This window comes from Homo sapiens, chromosome 9 (assembly GCF_000001405.40).
Source record: "Homo sapiens chromosome 9, GRCh38.p14 Primary Assembly".
NCBI lineage: Eukaryota > Metazoa > Chordata > Mammalia > Primates > Hominidae > Homo > Homo sapiens.
In genome coordinates, this window is record NC_000009.12 from 135,275,541 (window position 1) to 135,294,206 (window position 18,666).

General features: G+C 54.8%; 2 annotated features.

The window, feature by feature from the left end:
* Positions 7,435-7,982: an enhancer, noted in NCBI's record as "H3K27ac-H3K4me1 hESC enhancer chr9:138174821-138175368 (GRCh37/hg19 assembly coordinates)". NCBI's record gives its function as "activates a minimal SCP1, AML or CMV promoter by ChIP-STARR-seq in primed H9 embryonic stem cells {active_cell/tissue: H9 hESC(primed)}" and the evidence as "EXISTENCE:reporter gene assay evidence [ECO:0000049][PMID:30033119]".
* Positions 9,457-10,123: an enhancer, noted in NCBI's record as "H3K27ac-H3K4me1 hESC enhancer chr9:138176843-138177509 (GRCh37/hg19 assembly coordinates)". NCBI's record gives its function as "activates a minimal SCP1, AML or CMV promoter by ChIP-STARR-seq in primed H9 embryonic stem cells {active_cell/tissue: H9 hESC(primed)}" and the evidence as "EXISTENCE:reporter gene assay evidence [ECO:0000049][PMID:30033119]".

An 18,666-nucleotide genomic window follows, 5' to 3' on the forward strand; every position in this document is an offset into this window, starting at 1 on the left:
TTTCAGAACTGGAAAGAAGAGCAAGCCTGGTCCCCTGGGGACCCTGGCACGCCATCCGGAGTGGGAGCCTTCACCATGGGCAACGCCGCTTCTCACTGTTCATGGTGGGTGAAGGGTGTAAGCTGCCATCTACGCTTGGCAGGAGGTGAGACCAGCGAGTGGCCTTCCTGCAGGCCTGAGGAGGAAGTGCCAGGACTTGTTCTCCCAGGCATGACTTGGCAGCGACGGCGTTGCCAGAACACACACTTCCAGCACTTTCATGGAAAGCCCAGACCTGCTGGCTTAACTGGCTTGGAGCACCACTCCTGGGTGAGGACACAGCTCCCAGCCAGATGTCCTGGCAGGTGACGCCTGGAAAACACAATGTATCATGCCAGAGACCGTCTCGGCTCTGGAGGGAGGGCACTTGGCGTCACAGCTGTATTGGGGACCAGAAGGCGCTTGTCCCAGCTCTCTGGATTTCTCTCTTATTTCAGTAGAGGCCCTTTCTAAGTCCCCTGGCTGGCTCCTCGTCCCTCCCTGGCCTCCCTAACAAGGGCAGTCTCCAGGGCTCTGCCTTCAGCCATCCTCTCTCCCTGGACAGCTCACCTGTTCCCGCCTCTTCAAATACAACCTATTTGCTAAAGGCTTCCTAATCTAAAAATGTCCCCAGCCCGGGCTTCCTCAGCCCCTCGCTCCTCCTAGAGGCCTCCACCTGAGAACACCCCAGGTGCCTCAGTGACGAGAACAAGGCAGAACCCGTGTGGATCCTCCTTCAACCCCATAGCCACGCTCAGTCCTGCTCTTTCATGCTCTAGTGTCCCATCTCTGGAATGCTCACATCAAAGGGCTGGGAGTCCTTGCAGAAACCTCCCAACCCCTCCAACCTCCTGCCACACAGACAATTGGTCAAGGTGCCCTCGGAGCTAGGCCTTTAAAACACGTCACCCACCAGCCCACCACAGCCCCTGGGCCAGGCCGCCAGCGTCCCCTTTTCCTGGGTGCAGCCATGGCCCCATTGGCCCCCTGCTTCCACTCTTGCCACGTGTAGTCGGCAAACCAGCCCTCTGTCCTTCAATCTGTATCAGGCCACCTGCTGCTCGGAAACATCTGACAAGGTCCACGGATCTGGCCCCACCACCCTCCATGTCACGTGACACGCCCCCCCTCCTGGTGCACTCCGGACCCCCGGATCCCCCTCCTCCTGCTCCCATTGCAGCTGCAACAGGTCCCAACACCTGGTGGCTTCAAACAGCACGCAGTGGTCACATTACAGAGAAGAGGGCGAGGCTGAAATGGGTCTCACTGGCCTAAATCCAGGCACTCCCTCCGAGGCCTTCGGGGAGAATTTGAATCCCGCCTTCCCCAGTTCTGGAGGTGCCTGCATTCCTTGGCTCCAGACCCCTTCCTCCGTCCTCAAAGCTGGCAGCATCTTCAGTTCATCTCTGACTCTGACCTCTGCTTCCCAAGTCACATCCGCCTCCCCCCGACCCTGCCCAGCAGAAGTGGCGCTTTCATAAAATCACAGCTGTGGGGACAGTGGCCAAAGAAACACCAGCAAGGGGCCCTGGTAGGAAAACATCATGACCAGGCCCTCGGAGCTCAGAAACTGCCTTCGTGTGGATGCCTTTGTCATGGCAGGGCTCGTCCCACGCAGGGCAAGCAAAAAGAAAAACACTCTGGGAATAAGACACATCCTCCTTGGATGCCCAGACACAAGTGCCTGGAACCCCCCAGGCCCAAACCACTGCCTGACCCCAAATCAAGCCCTGGAGGTCAGTGCGAAGAGCCTCGTGCCTAAACCATTGCCTGGAGATCCCTGGCCTGGCTGAAAGCATGCAGCAGTCTGAGGCGGCATCCAGGTGTTTGGAGGATTCGATCTGTTTGACCTCATAGTAAAACAAACAGCTGTGGCCAGAACCAACTCTGCTAAGAGCAAGGCTGCTGGAAGCCCGGAATGGCCTCCTCGCTCAGACCAGAGCTGGGGAATAACCGCGGATTTAGCAGCCACAGTGCGTGCCTCTGGCTACAGAAGCCCTCGTCTTGCCTGATTCCTGCAGCAGGAGCGTGGAATTTTCCTCCCTTTGAACAATCGATGCTGGAGCTGATTCTGTTCGTCGCTTCCCTCCTGAGCCGCCAACGCAGGCGTTTTTGCTCAAGTCCCTCAGAGTCAACATGACAACCTTCCAGTGAGTAAAAAAAGGCTGTCGCCGCTCTTGATTACTTCAGAGAGGGTTTTTCAATTGTGCTATTGGCTTAAAATTGCATTTTACATTACTGGGGTGAAGGCTCCCACGCTGCCGTGGTATCCAGTGAAAAATACTGTCAGAAATCGATGCTTAAAACCTACTAAATCTCTTGGCTGGGGTTCATGGAAAAGCACATTTCAAGATGGTTAGAAACTGTTCTTATTGCAAGACAAATAATGATTGCACATATTTCAACAACCTGTTGCTACTTTTCTGCACAATTTCGCCACGGACGTCAACATCCACTCCACCGACATCCCTGGAGCACCCACCACGTGCTGGGGACCCAAGGGGAACAGGATATGCCTGGCCCCCATTTTCACCACCAACGTCCCCGGAGCATCCACCACGTGTTGGGGGCCCAAAGGGAAGATATGCCTGTCCCCCACCTTCACCAGACCAGCCAGGGCTTCCATTGCAGCCTCCTGGGAGATGGACTTCATACAATCGTAAGAGAGTGGGGAAGACACAGACGAGAAAGGGGATGGCCCCGGTGCTGTGGGAACATCTCAAGCACACATCCCAGAGCCTGGGATGGGGACGTGTGTCCCTAGGCCATGGATTGAAGAAGTCTGCAGAGAAGTCAGTGGGGGCTGGTGCGGGGCTGGGGTGGGAAGGGCCTTCACTCCCCACTGGGTGTGAAACAAGCCTCTTAACTGGGTTAACCCCCTAGAAAACAGAAGACATGGAGTCGGCTGCTGATCTTCCAAACACCCCATCATGGCTTCTCAATTTCATTTTCCAGACCCCACCATCCCCTAGCTAGATTTTGTCACCTGAACACATCTGCTCCATAACCACAGATGGTCCCCCATCCCCACCATCTTGATTTATTTGTTCGTTTGTTTTCTGGGTGTGTAAAATCAAATTCCTACACTCACTTTGGATTCTAGCTTCTAGAAAAGCAGCTAACTGAAGCAATGGGCATGCCACGTCACAGACGGCTGCAGCTGACCCACATTTCAGGGGCATCAGGAAGCACTGTAACCAACCAACGACTGCATGGCACGCGATCAGCAACATCAAGGACCTTCGTGAACATCACTGGAAATCAGCCAAGCGTCCGGAGCCCTTAGAGATGAGAGCCCAAAATGGCCTCGAGTGGCTGGCACAAAGGATGTCTTCCGAAAGGCCACCACCCAGCCTGCTTTGAATGCACACAGCACAGAAAACGCCTCGGTCCGCCAGGCGTGGTGGCTCATGCCTATAATCCCAGCACTTTGGGAGGCCAAGGTGGGCGGATCACGAGATCAGGAGATCAAGACCATCCTGGCTAACATGGTGAAACCTCATCTCTACTAAAAATACAAAAATTAGCTGGGTGTGGTGGCAGGCACCTGTAATCCCAGCTACTCGGGAGGCTGAGGCAGGAGAATCGCTTGAACCCGGGAGGCGGAGCTTGCAGTGAGCCGAGATCAAGCCACTACACTCCAGCCTGGGCGACAGAGCAAGATTCCATCTCCAGAAAAAAAAAAGAAAAGAAAAAAAAAAGAAAACACCTTGGTCTTCTTGTTCCAAGTGTGTCCTGATAAGAAGGAGGCGTGAAGGGAGAAGCCTGGTGGACAGAGAATATCTAAACTGACTCTCAGAGCAACATTCAAGGTCCCGGCCATCGTCATGCCCACTTTACAGGTGAGGAAGCTGAGGCTCAGAGAGGTGGGAAGAGCTGGAGAGCTGCTGAGGCAGCTGCGGTGTGGGCCTGCCTGCGGACATTAAGACAATGGGACAGCAAGGGGACAAAGCCGGGACAGTCAGCCCTCGCTGCTTCCCTGGGTCCAGAGCCATCCGTGGGATCCAAGCAAATGGCAAGAGGGCCACTCAGAGCTGCGTCTGTGGCCCCGGGACAGACCCCAAGAGTCCCTGTGGCCATGGCGGAGGTGCCCTGAGCCCTGGGAGCCTCAAGTTGCTGAGTCCTTGAGGGACAGGTGCCCCTTTCTGTCCCTCGTCCAAACCCTGGTGATGGCATTTCAGGGTCACACGGTGGGTTGAACGTTTCATGGGGGAGCTCCGCCTCCCAGCAGACTCACTTCCCTGTCTCATGTGGAAGGAGTGACAGAACTTCGGGTATCATTGGCATCTTTCGCCTCCGGATAACCCGACTCCCTGGCTTCACAGGGGAACGGCCTCAGAGCCACCAATACCAAAACAACGACTGGGAGAATGTGTTCGGGTGCCCCGTGACTGTCACCAATGTCGGGTGAGATTCTGTGGGGTGCTTCATGAAATTCCAGGGGGTGGCTGATGGCAAAGTGTCCCATGAAATCTGTAGGGCTGTGGCCGAATTCCACAGAGGGTCCCGTGAAATCCTGGGGCCTATGAAATGCAATCTGCCAGCCTCTGCCCACCTGTAGCCATGATGGGTCTGGCTGGGCACGGGAGAAACAGCAGGAGCTCAGCCCTGCACCCGCAGCTCTGGGAGCAGAGAACATGCCCTGGACGCTTCGGGGCTGAGTGGCTCCGCAGGCGGGAAAGCGCGGATCGGACCTGCAAGGAGATGCCACCCGGACTGCCACACTCACCCAGAGACAGACATGAAAAGAGAGAGGGTTGCCATCCTCATGTGCATAAAGGGCAGTGGGGAGGAAGCGGGGAGGAAAGGGGTCAGGTTGGACGGCAGGAAGCCGGATGCCAGCTCAGAGCGGGAGGCTCTGTACCATGTGGCTGGCCATACCCTGGGCTCTGTTGGCGAGGTCTGACCACGGAGGCTCTGTACCATGTGGCTGGTCATACCCTGGGCTCTGTTGGCGAGGTCTGACCACATGAGCCTCAAATTCAGGCGGGTTCTGCTCACCAGCAATATCTGCCTGCCCTTGGGCAAGTCCCTCAACCTCTCTGAGCCTCAGTTTCTTCATCTGTAGAAGAGGAAGAATAGCAGCCCCTCTCGGGTGGCAGGAGGAAGGGGAAGATGACCTGAGGGGCGGTAATGGAGACTGGGGTGGCAGCTGACTTGAAAACTGGCGCCATGAAAGAAAAGACACTGCTGTTCTCCCCGTCACAGATGAGGAAACCAAGACTCAGAGGGTCCAAGGCACTGGACTGAGGTGGCACAGCCAGAGGCAGCAAGGAGCTGGACCCGCCCCAAGCACCGTCTGACTCCAATTGCAGCCTCCCAGGCCTGCTTCTGGCACGAGTCTGTTGACGTAGGCCTTAGCCACCAGAGCCAGTGCTTCCAACCGAGCTCTCTGCAGTGACAGAAACGCTCTAGGTCTCTGCCATCCAACAGGACGGCCACAAGCCACATGTGGCCTTTGAGCCCTTGAAATGTCAGTGCAGCCGAGAAACCGAATTTCTAATTGTATTGAATTTTATTAATTTAGATTCAAGGAGCCACACGTGCTGAGCAGCCTGACTCTGGGCGTCATTGCAGGTTAATTGAGCGTCCCCCCAACGCTGGAAAGCCACCACCCCCACCCAGATCACTCAGGGGAGGCTTTTTGAAGAACCACCTTGCTGCTGGCTACACCCAGTGGCGCTGGGGGTCTCTGAGGGGCCCATGGATCCATGCTAAGGCCTGCGGTCGGGGCATCCACCTCCCAGCCTCAGCCTGCAGGAGGAGCTGTCAGCTCCAATAGACTGGCCTCGGGAGGCTACTACTGGCTCTAGGCCTCGGGCAGCTGCTGGGCTCACCCAGACGGGGTCAGCTTTGCAGAGAAGGGTCACAAGGTGAGGCAGGGTCTGTGTACCTGGAGGTCCCGGGGGGGCCCTCAAGTGCCACAGGCTGGGTCCAGGCCTAACTCTGCCCCTCCCTGACCTGGTGTCCCTGAGCAGGTCCCCATCTGCAAAAGACATAATGGGACACCTTCCCCACCTCCGTGGGCTGAGAGGACTGACTTGGATTCCTCGTGGGGAGGGAGGGCCAAGTCCCAGCCAACCTCGGGCTCTGGAGGGCAGCCCATGGTCTCCCCGTCATCACTTTGCCAGGTGGCTGCCCACTCCAGAAAGCACTGTAACTACCCTAGTCATAGCTTCCTAAACCCCCAGAAGTGAAGGTGGCAGCAGGCAGGCGGAGGCAGGGCCTCCCCACCACATGGCCCCCGTTCTCCTAAACAGCACTCTGGTGCCCAGATACTTCCAGGAAGATTAAGCTGAAAACTCCAGCGCAAGCTGCTGGAGGAGAGGGGGTTGCTGTGGCAACCGCATCTGGCCTATTCACTTGAGTTTTGGAGGTGAGGGATGGAGAACAGAAATACGGCAAAACCCCAAGCGCAAGGCCTCCTTCGATTTCACAACCAGCACGTGTGTGGGGGGGTCGAGCGGAGAGAGGCGAGTGCTTTAAAACTCGCTGAGACAATCCACTCAGGGTTTGTCTGTGGCTCTTTAATATCCAGCCACCCAGCCTGGTTCTGGCTGTTCTGTTGCCAAGAGGTGACGTCAGACGCTTGGCAGCGTGACAAGCTGGGGCCAGGCCAGGTGCGAGCTTCACAGCACCCGGTGCTTCCTGAGAGACCTCAGGCAGGGACAGGAGGGGTTTTTTAGCACCAAGGCTGGGGCGGGAGAGGAGGAGGAGCTGCTCACAAAGATGCCCTGCCCTTTCCACGGAGATCCTCCTAGTGGCTTGCAGGGAGTCTACCTCCTGGTGCCGAGCACACAGAGTCCCCCAGGAGGACACAGCACCTAAATGTTTGTGTATATTCCGTGTGTATTCCGAGTCCACTTGCACACTCCAGGAGCATTTATCTGCAAACATTCAGAGCTCCCCTACACACCAGGCTCTGTGCCAGGTGCCAAGGGCCGGGACTAAGACACATGTGACCTCATGGAATTGCCATTGGTGGGGACAGAGAAGCCAGGCGGCCCCCACAGTGCAGGGCCTGGAGTAGGGGAGGTGCAGGCTGCATGAGCACAGACGAGGAACAGCTCATCTCCTCTCAAGGATGGAGGGGAAAAACCAGGGAGGCTTCCTGGAGGAGGTGGCATCCAAGCTGAACTCTGAGGAATGCCTCAGCCTCATGAAGGAGCAGCACAAGGCTCCTGAAGCAAGGGCCTGACCAATGTTCAGCCCAGTCCATCGGGGACGCAGGAACAGCACAGGTGGTCAGGGCCTGTTCTGGGGGCCTCCTTGGCAGAAGGAGGTTGGGGTTAAGCCCAAGCACAGCCGGAGCTCCCTGGAGGGTGCATGGCGGTGGTGCAGTGCCCATCCTGCATGTCCAAACCATTGTGGCTGCCAGGTGGGGTCCAGGTGTCTGGGGCTGGGCCTGGAGCTGAGGCCAGGTGGAGGCTGCAGCTGAGATGCAGGAGGACACAGAGGCAGGCACTCAGGTGGCCTCGGCAGGAGGGGGCAGTCCTGTTGGGTGCTCTGGCCTTGGCCCTTGAAAGCCAGTGAACTGGAGGATGAGGCCTGTGGGGCAGCAGGAGAGCCATGGATCTGCTCCTGGGGAAGGGGCAGGGTCAGGGGCTGGCACAGGGACCTGGGAAAAGAGACCTCGAGCTGGGCCTTTGGATGCAGTGCCAGAGGGGAACTGGGATGCCTGTTTCAGGTTCAGGCTGGGTAGGGAGCACATGGGCAGGTGGGTGCCCTGAGGACAAGAGCCCTGGGCAGTCCTGGAAAAAATCAGAGTGACCTGCAGGATGCTTCCTGCCGCACGCCGTGTTAACATGCAAATGGAGACTGTTTTCACTGCACATATTTCGCAGTCTAATTTCATAAACCGTATATTCATCAGAGAACATCATGGAACATATCGGAAAGTCCAAAGAGAAGGTACATGCCCACAATCCCACTCCGAGAGCAAGTGACAGGTGACGTCTGCAAGCACAGCGTTCTAGCTCTTCCCGTGCATAGATGCACTTTTCTTTTCATCAGCTTGCGACCATGCGTTCCAGTGTTTCAAAGGCTGTTTTTAAAATAAATACAGTCTATCTTCCAGGCACCTGCCTGGCACTTTGTAGGTTATCAGTAAACATTTGATGAATAAATGAAGGCAGGAACAGTTTCTCCTGGTGAATGCTCTTCTACAAAACCGAGTTTGCACCGTCGTCAGCGGCTGCCTCATGCCTCGCTCTGTGCATGAGCTGCCCTCTCAGCCCCTCCTCTGCTGTGGGGCGTTCATGCCATTTCTGGGTTTTTCACTCTTTCAGACGCTGCTCAGCGGATGTCCTGGTGGTTATGCCTTTTTCCACGTCTCAGAGGATTGATCAAAGGACGGTTACTTTGTTAGAGCAGCTGACACATTTATGACATTACTCTCAGAAAAGCCTGCACCGGATTCATCCCAGGGTGGGACGCCCGTGCCGGAGCCCACACTCTTGCAGCACTCAGCTCCGTAGCTGTCTCCAAACTGCTTTGCTGAAGAAGGTGATTCTTTACAGTTTAAGTCTATGCTTCTCAAATCCTCTGTGGCAAAGACTGGTTACTGAAGCTTTTCCAATCTACCTCAGACCAATACTAGTAAAATGAAGTAAAATATATATATATTAGTTTAAAAAAAACACACACACATTTTAAGCCATCATGTTTTAGTATGAGATTCAACAGACACAATTATCCTGTCAAATTGCTATAGAGTTCCTCAATTTTTGGATATTTTTATCATAAACTTTTACTCGATCATTCCTGGACCAGTTCTGGCCCGAGGTTGCACGTTGGGTGGGATGGTTGAAATAATTCCCCCACTGAAAATAATCCCCCACTGAAAATAATTCACCCACTGGCCATCTATTATTAATAATGTGGACAACCTGTGCGTCGGAACAGCGATTTCACTTGCATTTCCAATCCCGCAGGTCAGCAGGAAGGAACACATTCTTCTCATTGGAAGAAGATGGAATCAAGCCCAGGCTGCCAGGGCTGTGGCTGGGACCCTGTGTGAGCCCAGAGGCCACGGGATGGGACAGATCCCAGTCCTCCAACTCCCGGCAGGTATCTGAGGCTCTGCCACCGTTTTCCAACATTGAGGGGCTGTGCTGCCCTGTGGAATGAGGACAGTGTCCAAGTTAATGAGGCTTCGTGGCAAATGCCCAGCCCCCGTCAGGAGGCCTTCATTCTTTGCCCTCAAATTGTGGGGGTGGGGGGCTGGATTGGACCAGAACAGTCTGTGCTGTGCTCTGGCTGGGGCTTGGACAGAGAAGCCTGCCTCCCTGGGGATGCCCTTTAGGCAGGGCTGAAGGCATAGCGCAGAGGGCTCCTCCTGGTCCCTGGGTGCCCATTTCTGGCCCCAGCTGCCTCCCCTGATGGCCATGGGTACTAGGATGAAATCCTTGCACCAGGGCAGCCCCGGCCTGCAGTCACCCCTTTCTGGGATGAAAGCAAGGCAAGGTGCCTGGGCTGGAGCTCGGGGGCAGGTGGTGCTGGGGACCTCAGGTGGTTGTGATTTCACCTCTGGGTCCCCAGGCACACAGGTGCACACGCATCCCACACACACAGGCATGTGCACACGTGACACGCGTCCCCAGGCACACACGTGCACACGCATCCCCCACACAGGCATGTGCACACGTGACACGCGTCCCCAGGCACACACGTGCACATGCATCCCCCCACACACAGGCATGTGCACACGTGACACGGGTCCCCAGGCACACAGGTGCACACGCATCCCCCCACACACAGGCATGTGCACACGTGACACGGGTCCCCAGGCACACAGGTGCACACGCATCCCCCCACACACAGGCATGTGCACACGTGACACGCGTCCCCAGGCACACAGGTGCACACGCATCCCCCACACAGGCATGTGCACACGTGACACGGGTCCCCAGGCACACAGGTGCACACGCATCCCCCAACACACAGGCATGTGCACACGTCACACGGGTCCCCAGGCACACAGGTGCACATGCATCCCCCCACACACAGGCATGTGCACACGTCACACGGGTCCCCAGGCACACAGGTGCACACGCATCCCCACACACACAGGCATGTGCACACGTGACACGGGTCCCCAGGCACACAGGTGCACACGCATCCCCACACACACAGGCATGTGCACACGTGACACGCGTCCCCAGGCACACACGTGCACACGCATCCCCCCCACACAGGTATGTGCACACGTGACATGCGTCCCTAGGCACATAGGTGCACACGCATCCCCCACACAGGCATGTGCACACGTGACACGCGTCCCCAGGCACACAGGTGCACACGCATCCCCCCACACACAGGCATGTGCACACGTCACACGGGTCCCCAGGCACACAGGTGCACACGCATCCCCACACACACAGGCATGTGCACACGTGACATGCGTCCCCAGGCACACAGGTGCACACGCATCCCCCCCCACACAGGCATGTGCACACGTGACACGGGTCCCCAGGCATACAGGTGCACACGCATCCCCCCACACACAGGCATGTGCACACGTGACACGGGTCCCCAGGCACACAGGTGCACACGCATCCCCCCACACACAGGCATGTGCACACGTGACATGGGTCCCCAGGCACACAGGTGCACACGCATCCCCCCACACACAGGCATGTGCACACGTGACATGCGTCCCCAGGCACACACGTGCACACACATCCCCACACACACAGGCATGTGCACACGTGACACGCGTCCCCAGGCACACACGTGCACACACATCCCCCACACAGGCATGTGCACACGTGACACGCATCCCCAGGCACACACGTACACACGCATCCCACACACAGGCATGTGCACATGTGACACGCGTCCCCAGGCACACAGGTGCACACACATCCCCCACACACACAGGCATGTGCACACGTGACACGCGTCCCCAGGCACACACGTGCACACACATCCCCCACACAGGCATGTGCACACGTGACACGCGTCCCCAGGCACACAGGTGCACATGCATCCCCCCACACACAGGCATGTGCACACGTGACATGGGTCCCCAGGCACACAGGTGCACACGCATCCCCACACACACAGGCATGTGCACACGTGACACGTGCACAGCCTGCGACTGCCCCATTGGCAGCCCCTGCCCCGCACTGTCCCAACACGGTTCCCCCATGAGGACTGTGGTTACATGCTCCCCATTTTATAGACAGGGAAACTGAGGCTCACAAAGCTAGCCAGCCAGCCCGCGTGGGGCGTGCCCATGGATTCTGGGCCCCTGGCTGCACACGCGCCTCACACCTCTCCAGATAGGGCTCCTCCTCCCCAAACGAACCCCCATCCTCCCCCAGGCCTCCCTCCCCTTCTTTTGTTTCCTCTTCTCCTCCAGAATCTTCTTTGTTTTAGCCAATGTCTCTGGAACCAGTACACTTGGCTATTGGCAGAGCAAAGGAGGCAGAGGCCGGACAGGAGGGTGCCCTGCAGCGCTCCAGCCCCCCAGAGCAGCTCCGGCCCAAGGGGCCCAAGGAGCAGCCGAGGACCTGGGGCCCAGCACTGCCTCCTGGGCCTGTCTCCTCATTCCTGAGTGTGAGGGGAGCTGGGTACTCACGGAGGCTCCTCGCAGCTCTGCCACTGTGCAATGCCAGGACCCCAGAGGGCACCTGTGGGGGGAGAGGACATGTGGGGATGGGCCTGGGAACAAGGTCAGTGGACCCCCCCCACCACCCAAGGGTCAGGTGGACAAGGGGCTCTCCATCTGCCAGCGTTCCTGGTGAGAAGGAGTTCTGTGGAGAGCTCAGGCAGCATCTGTCTCTCCCCCTCCTTCTCCTCATACTGTGTCTCTCTCTGTCTCTCTGTCAGTCTCTCTGTGTCTCTATCTCGGTCTCTGTTGCTCTCTCTCTGTTGCTCTCTCTATCTCTCTCTGTCTCTGTCTGTCTCTGTCTCTCTATCTCTGTCTCTGTCGCTCTCTCTGTATCTCTCTGTCTCTATCTATCTCTGTCCCTCTGCCTCTCTGTCTGTCCCTCTGTCTCTCTGTCTCTCTGTCTGTCTGTCTCTCTCTCTCTCTCTCTCTGTCTCTCTCTCTGTCTTCCAGCCTGTTTGAGACATCACCCACCAAGCGGCCTGGGAGGGAGACCTCCCCTTTTCTCCAGAGGCAAGCCGCAGGGCCCTAACTGGAAGGGCTGGCCCAGGTCGCCATCATCCCCCGCAGTCTGCAGAGGGAAACGAAGGCCCAGACCTCCCCGGAGCCACCCTGAGGAGTCTCACAGACAACTCCTCCCTGACATGCAGGCTCAGGGCTCATGCGGGCAAGGGGTCCGTGGCAGGCAGGCAGGAGGAGCTGGTAACAGGCACCACTTTCGTTTTCTGAGCGGCCGCTGCAGGCCCGGCCCCCGTGTATCCTGCATCTCATTTTACTTCAGAAACCCCTGGGAGCCGCAGACTGGGAGGAAGTCCCCAAGCTCGGATCCCACCTGGGACCATATCCTGCCACGTATGGAACCCCTTCAGCTGCCTCACAGGAGGACAAACAACCCAAGGAGAAGTGAGCAGAAGACTCAGACAGACACTTTACAAAGGTCTAAGAGCGGTCAACGCGCATACGAGGAAATGCACGGCCTCCTCGGGGACCAGGGAGTGCACATGAAGCCGCCTCTGCTCCCCAGCACGCCCGCCAGCACGGCTGACGCTCAAGGCCTGACCACGCCAAGTGTGCGCAGGGAACAACCAGAACGCTCGGAACACAGAATGACCATTTTGGAAAGCAGGTTGTGGCTTCTTACCAACTGGGACACAGTTCCCACAGGACCTAGTGATGCCGCTCCCAGGCATTTACCCGGGAGGAACGCACACAGGTCCCCGCGGAGCCTGCGTGGGAATGCCCGTCGCAGGTGTATTCATTACAGCCAAAACCCGGGTGAGGAGTGCCTCTAATAGGAGAATGGCCATACATGCTGCGGGCTGCGCAAGAGGACACAGAGGCGATCCAGAGCCCAGCAGCGGTTAGGGACGGAGCAGTCAGGGAAGACCCAAGGGTAGAACCTAGCTGTCAGTGGAGTCCTGCCTTCAACATCCAATCAGCAACCATAATGAAGAGTGGCGGTCCCATTCCGCTATCCTGGCTCAGTGATAGGATTTCAACCCCCTGCCAGGCCTGGCCCGCAGCTGCCCTGCAAGTCGCTGGAGGGATCCACGCTGAGATTGGCTTCCAAAAGTAGGATGGTGCCTGGAGCGACCAGGGTACTGACACCATCTTCTCGAGTCCTGAGCTTCCATTATTCTAGGCCTATCAGGCTAATTCCTACTTGCTGGGAACATCACAGGCCTCAACGAGTCTGTTGGATCATGAGAAATGAGTGCCTTGAATGAGTGCATATCCGTATTGACTCCGTAGCTGTGCTCTGTGACTGGAGCAAACGCCCATCAGTTTCATAAATAGCTGGCGCTCTGTGAGCCTGGACCTTCTGGGCCCAGTTTTCTGTCTGTAAAATGGACAGTTTGACGCAGGTGATCTCCAAGGGTCCTCCCTTCCAGTCTGCTCTCCAGGACCCCTCAGACCTCAGCGACGCTCCTCGTTATACACAGATCCGGGGGCTCCTGATCACGCGAGCACAGACAGGCCCCGCCGTTGCTGATGCAAAGGCACCCCTCCTGGACTGTTTACCACCCTCGGATCAGGCTAATTGAATGCACTCCGCCAGTGACCCGAAATGACTTTGCTTCGGAATGAAGAGCCTCATGAAAACCCTGTTGCTGTGTTTAATCTGGAATTAAACTGTTTGATGTTCGAGGTCTGATGTGAGCACTTCAGAAAGATTGATTGTTTTCCTTGATGAGGCCGTGATGACTAATTGTTCCGTGTTGTGTTATAAATGGGGCAGGAGAGAAAGTTTGTTGAGGAAATAGCACCATCCTGTTTACTCCCAAGGTAGGCATTGATTCGCCGAAATCTATGCCACAGAAGAGAGGGGATGGAGACCGCACCGTGGTTTTCCCAGCCCTTCCTGAAACTAGAAACCACATCCACACTTCCATCCAACTTCACCAAACTGGGTGAGAAGGCTGTGCTGTGTCTGCTCTGGAGTTCCCCGCCTCTCTGCTCCAAATGCGCTCTTCGGGTGCCCTCGGAGATGAATAGGGGTTCCTGGACGCTCATCTCCTTGAAAAGGAGTGCGGTGTTAAACTTCATCAGCAGAAGGCTTTCAGAGGAGGGAGAAGCTCTCCTGAGGCCTCTGTGTTGGCCAGGGGCTGCAGATGGGTGGGAGGACACCGGGGGAGCCCAGCCCAGCCACAGGCCCGAACACAGTCCCCCTGAGACCTTCTGGCCTCAGCCTGGCCATAACCCTCTTGGCATGGAAACCAGAGCCCCTCTCGGCTGAATCAACCACACCTTCCCTAAGGAGGTCTGAGTGCCTCCAGGTTTCTCCTCCCCTGGGCCCTAGGTGACCATCTAGAGTTTCCTTATAGTTTACAGTTTTTCTTGTATCATCATTAATAATTCTTTATGTTCAACTCCCCTGTTTAACCTACAGTGTGGTTTCTATCTCCTAATAAAAGCCAGGTTGCTACAAAAACAATCAGCAAAGATTTCTTGGGAATTTATCATGAGCTCAGTCCACATTAGGTGGGACAACAACTCGCCCAAGAATGAGAGATCATGTCAGTCCAGCAGTACCTTTGCCAGCATCCGCTGTGCATGAGCTGCTATTTAAGGCACGTAGAGATAAGCAAAGCAAGCATGGCACCCTCGGCCAAGGACCTTCTGTTTCCACAGAGCTGGGGAAGCCAACCCGTGGAAACCAAGCCCTCCGAGAGAGCGCTATAGGCAGGATGATTCCTGCCACAGGACTCTGCCATCCCAGCGTGGGCTCCTCACAGCTGCACCTCCAGACAAGTCCTGGACTTGAAGGCTGCACCGTGGTTATCCCAGCCCTTCCTGAAACTAGAAACCACATCCACACTTGCATCCAACTTCACCAAACTGGGTGAGAAGGCTGTGTCTGCTCTGGAGTTCCCCGCCTCTCTGCTCCGAATGCGCTCTTTGGATGCGCTGGGGATAAACAGGGGTTCCTGGACGCTTGGGCTAAGATAATGTCAATCATGAATATTCTGTTTACTCAGGAAGAGAGGGGAATGACTAGAAGGGCAGCCATGACCATTTGGGAGAGACAGTATCGTCCCGGGCAAGGAGTCCTGCCAGCTGAGCAGAAATCCCCAGATGCAAATCCCAGATGGGATAACAGTAACCCCGGGGACCGGGTGGGGTGACAGTAACCCCGGGGACTGGGCCCAAATGCAGGACCTGAGGAAACTAATAATTAGAGGGATTTAAAAATTCCACTCCTAGAACACAAAATGTCTCAAAAGCATTTGAGATTCAACAAGAAAAAGAGGAAACTCCCTCTGCGTTTCTGCAGAGGGTCAGGGTTCAAATGAGAAAATATTCAGGATTAGACCCAGAGGACCCAGTAGGGCAAGGCCTTTTAAAGGCTAATTTCGTAACTAAAAGCTGGCCTGATACTACTAAGAAACTGCAAAAGATTGACGGATGGGATGAAAAACTTATTAAGGAGTTACTGAGGGACGCTCAGAAGGTTTTTGTAAGAAGAAAGAAAAGAGAAACTAGGAAAGGGAGAAAGAGAAAAAAGTAAGAAGGGAAATCGGAAAGAGAAAGGGGAGGAAATGGCAAATGTAGAGAGCCAAAGCTGTCCGTCTCGCAGTTGGACAGAGGGGAGCCACGGCATGGCTCACGCTGCTGCCCAGAGAGAGAAAGAGTTCATCTGCTGGCCCCGAAGGCAAGGGAGAGCCGCCGTGCAGCTGCAGGTATAGGGCGGCGGGAGCCGCAGAGCCGAAGCAGATGGCAGCCGAGATAAAGGTGGACAGTGTGAGAGAGCTAATGCGAGTAAGCTGTTGCTTCACATGGTGGGCGCGCTGGTACCCAGAGAGAGAGAAAGAGGGAGAAACTGAGTGTGAGAGATAAAGGAAGAAGGGGATAAAAGAGAGAAAGAGAGAGAAGAAAATGAGCGAGAGAGAGACTGGAAAAGAAAGAGATCAAAGAGGGACACACAAGGTGGGACTCGGGAGAGAGATAATGTAAAAGGGGGAAGAATACAAGAGGAAAAGAGAGAGGCCATTAAAAAAACGGGGGACAGAGACAAAAGTGCAAGTAAGCAGTAGCTGCCATGGCCCTGCTGGTAGAGGAGTGTCAGAAGCTGACCTTTGGTGGGGCCCTGGTAGTGAACACAGGTCAGGAATGTATTCAGTCAAAGAGCTGGGAGATGGTTGACTGATTCCCAACTTTTAAAATATGAAACCATATTTCTAAAAAAAAAAGATAATTTTGTCTTAACAACAGATAGTTGCTTAAATCCAGCCAGTTTCTTATGGAAAGGAAAGAAGAATGAGGAGACATCAAACCATAACTGTTTGGCTGTCATAGCATAGCAAACTAAAGTGAGACCAGGCCTTAGAGAACCTGCATGATGGGATGAGGCTGTCTGCGGATGGGTCATCCCGAGTGATAGATGGTAAAAGACACAATGGCTATGCTGTCGTTAATGAAAACTAACAATCTTTATATGAAAAACGTAAATTACCCAATAACTGATCAGCCCAAACCTGGAAGTTGTATGCTCTTAACCAGGCCCTAAAGCTCCTAGAAGGCCAAGAAGGCACTATATATACTGATTGCAAATATGCCTATGGAGTGGTGCACACCTCTGGAAAGATCTGGACGGAGTGGGGCCTAATAAATAGCAGCGGGAAAGAATTGGTACATGGGGAACAGGTCAAACGTTTTAGGAAGCCTCCTGCTTCCAGCAGAGGTAGCCATAGTTCATGTAAATGGCCATCAGAGAGGAAACACTGCAGAAGCTGTAGGGAACAGGTTTGTGGATGAAGCTGCTATGCAAGCCTCCCTGGAGGAAGGAGTTAGAGTGTTTAGCCTAATCCCAGATATCCTTAAGGTGATATTAAGACCCTAATTTTCTAGGGAGGAGGAGGAAAAGTTGGGCAAGATAGGGCCACTCAAACTAAGAATGGGAGGTGGGAGAGAAATGATAAGCACACTGATGTCCGCAGTGCATCAGGGGAGTCACTGGGGTCCCCCGGCCACGTGTGATGCAACACTCGAGAATTATGGGTGTGTAGGGATTTCTACCCTTGGCTAAACAAGTGTGTGGGGGTTATGTGACCTGCCAGAGAATAAACAAAAAGGTAGTTAGAAAACAGACTACCGGAGGAAGACATCCTGGGTTAAGTCCATTTCGAAGCATTCAAGTAGATTTTACAGAAATGCCCCAAATAGGGAGACTGAAGTATCTCCTGGTAATGGGAGACCACCTCTCCGGCTGGGTGGAGGCCTTCCCCCGCCCAAATGCCACCACGAGGCATGCGGTCAAAATAATCTTAGAACAAATCATACCCAGATTTGGCCTCGTTAAATAAATATAAATTCAGACAATGGAAGCCACTTTACCTCAGGGGTGCTAAGGGGAATTATGGAAGGTTTACACATTAAATGGGATTACCACACCCCTTGGCATCCTCCCTCCTCTGGAAAAGTAGAAAGAATAAATAAGACTCTCTAAAAGCATATTTCTAAACTAATCTTAGAAACTAAAATGCCTGTGAGCAAATGACTCCCAGTAGCAACTTCTTAGGATTAGGACAGCCCCAAGGAAAGATTTGGGATTGTCCCCTTACCAGTTACTATATGGATTCCCATATTTAGCTGGGACTAATGATCTTCTTACTATGGAAAACGAAGACCAATTTTTAAGAAATTATATACTGGCAGGCCGGGTGCGGTGGCTCATGCCTGTAATCCCAGCACTTTGGGAGGCCGGCGGGTGGGGGGATCACGAGGTCAGGAGATCAAGACCATCCTGGCTAACACGGTGAAACCCTGTCTCTACTAAAAATACAAAAAAAAAAAAAAAAAAATTAGAGGCGTGGTGGCGGGCACCTGTAGTCCCAGCTACTCAGGAGGCTGAGGCAGGAGAATGGCGTGAACCCGGGAGGTGGAGCTTGCAGTGAGCCGAGATGGCACCACTGCACTCCAGCCTGGGCGACAGAGCGAGACTCTGTCTCAAAATAAATAATAAATAAATATAAAATACTGGCATATTCTCCACCCTGTCATCCATTAGGGTGAAAGGACTCCTGGGTCTCTTGAGTTCATGGGTCACCACTTCCAGCCTGGCAACTCGGTGCTAATTAAGACTTGGAAAGAAGACAAGCTCCGCCCAAGCTGGGAAGGTCCCTATCAAGCTCTCCTGACGACTGAGACAGCTGTACAAACAGCTGGATGGGGGTGGACACATGACACTCGGGTCAAGAGACTGGTAAAAAGAATCCCCGGAAGGAAGGGAAAGGGGGAATGGGAAGTGTGTAGATCACCTAAGGAACTCTGAAGCTAACTCTAAGGAAAACCTAGAAGGAAGCTATGAGCAGGCTCTGTCATTGCAGGTGGATATGGTTAGGATCAATCCTAACACGAAGGGTGAAAGGAGACCTCGGTATTGGATAGGGCCCAGCACTAGGGGTAGAAAGTAAGGAATATCCAATCAAACTAATAGTCAATGTAACTAAGACCTCGCCCGCCCCCCAGACCATAAAGTTCAATGCCTGCCAAATCTTACATTATGGGAATTTAGGCAACCAAAGGCAGCAGTC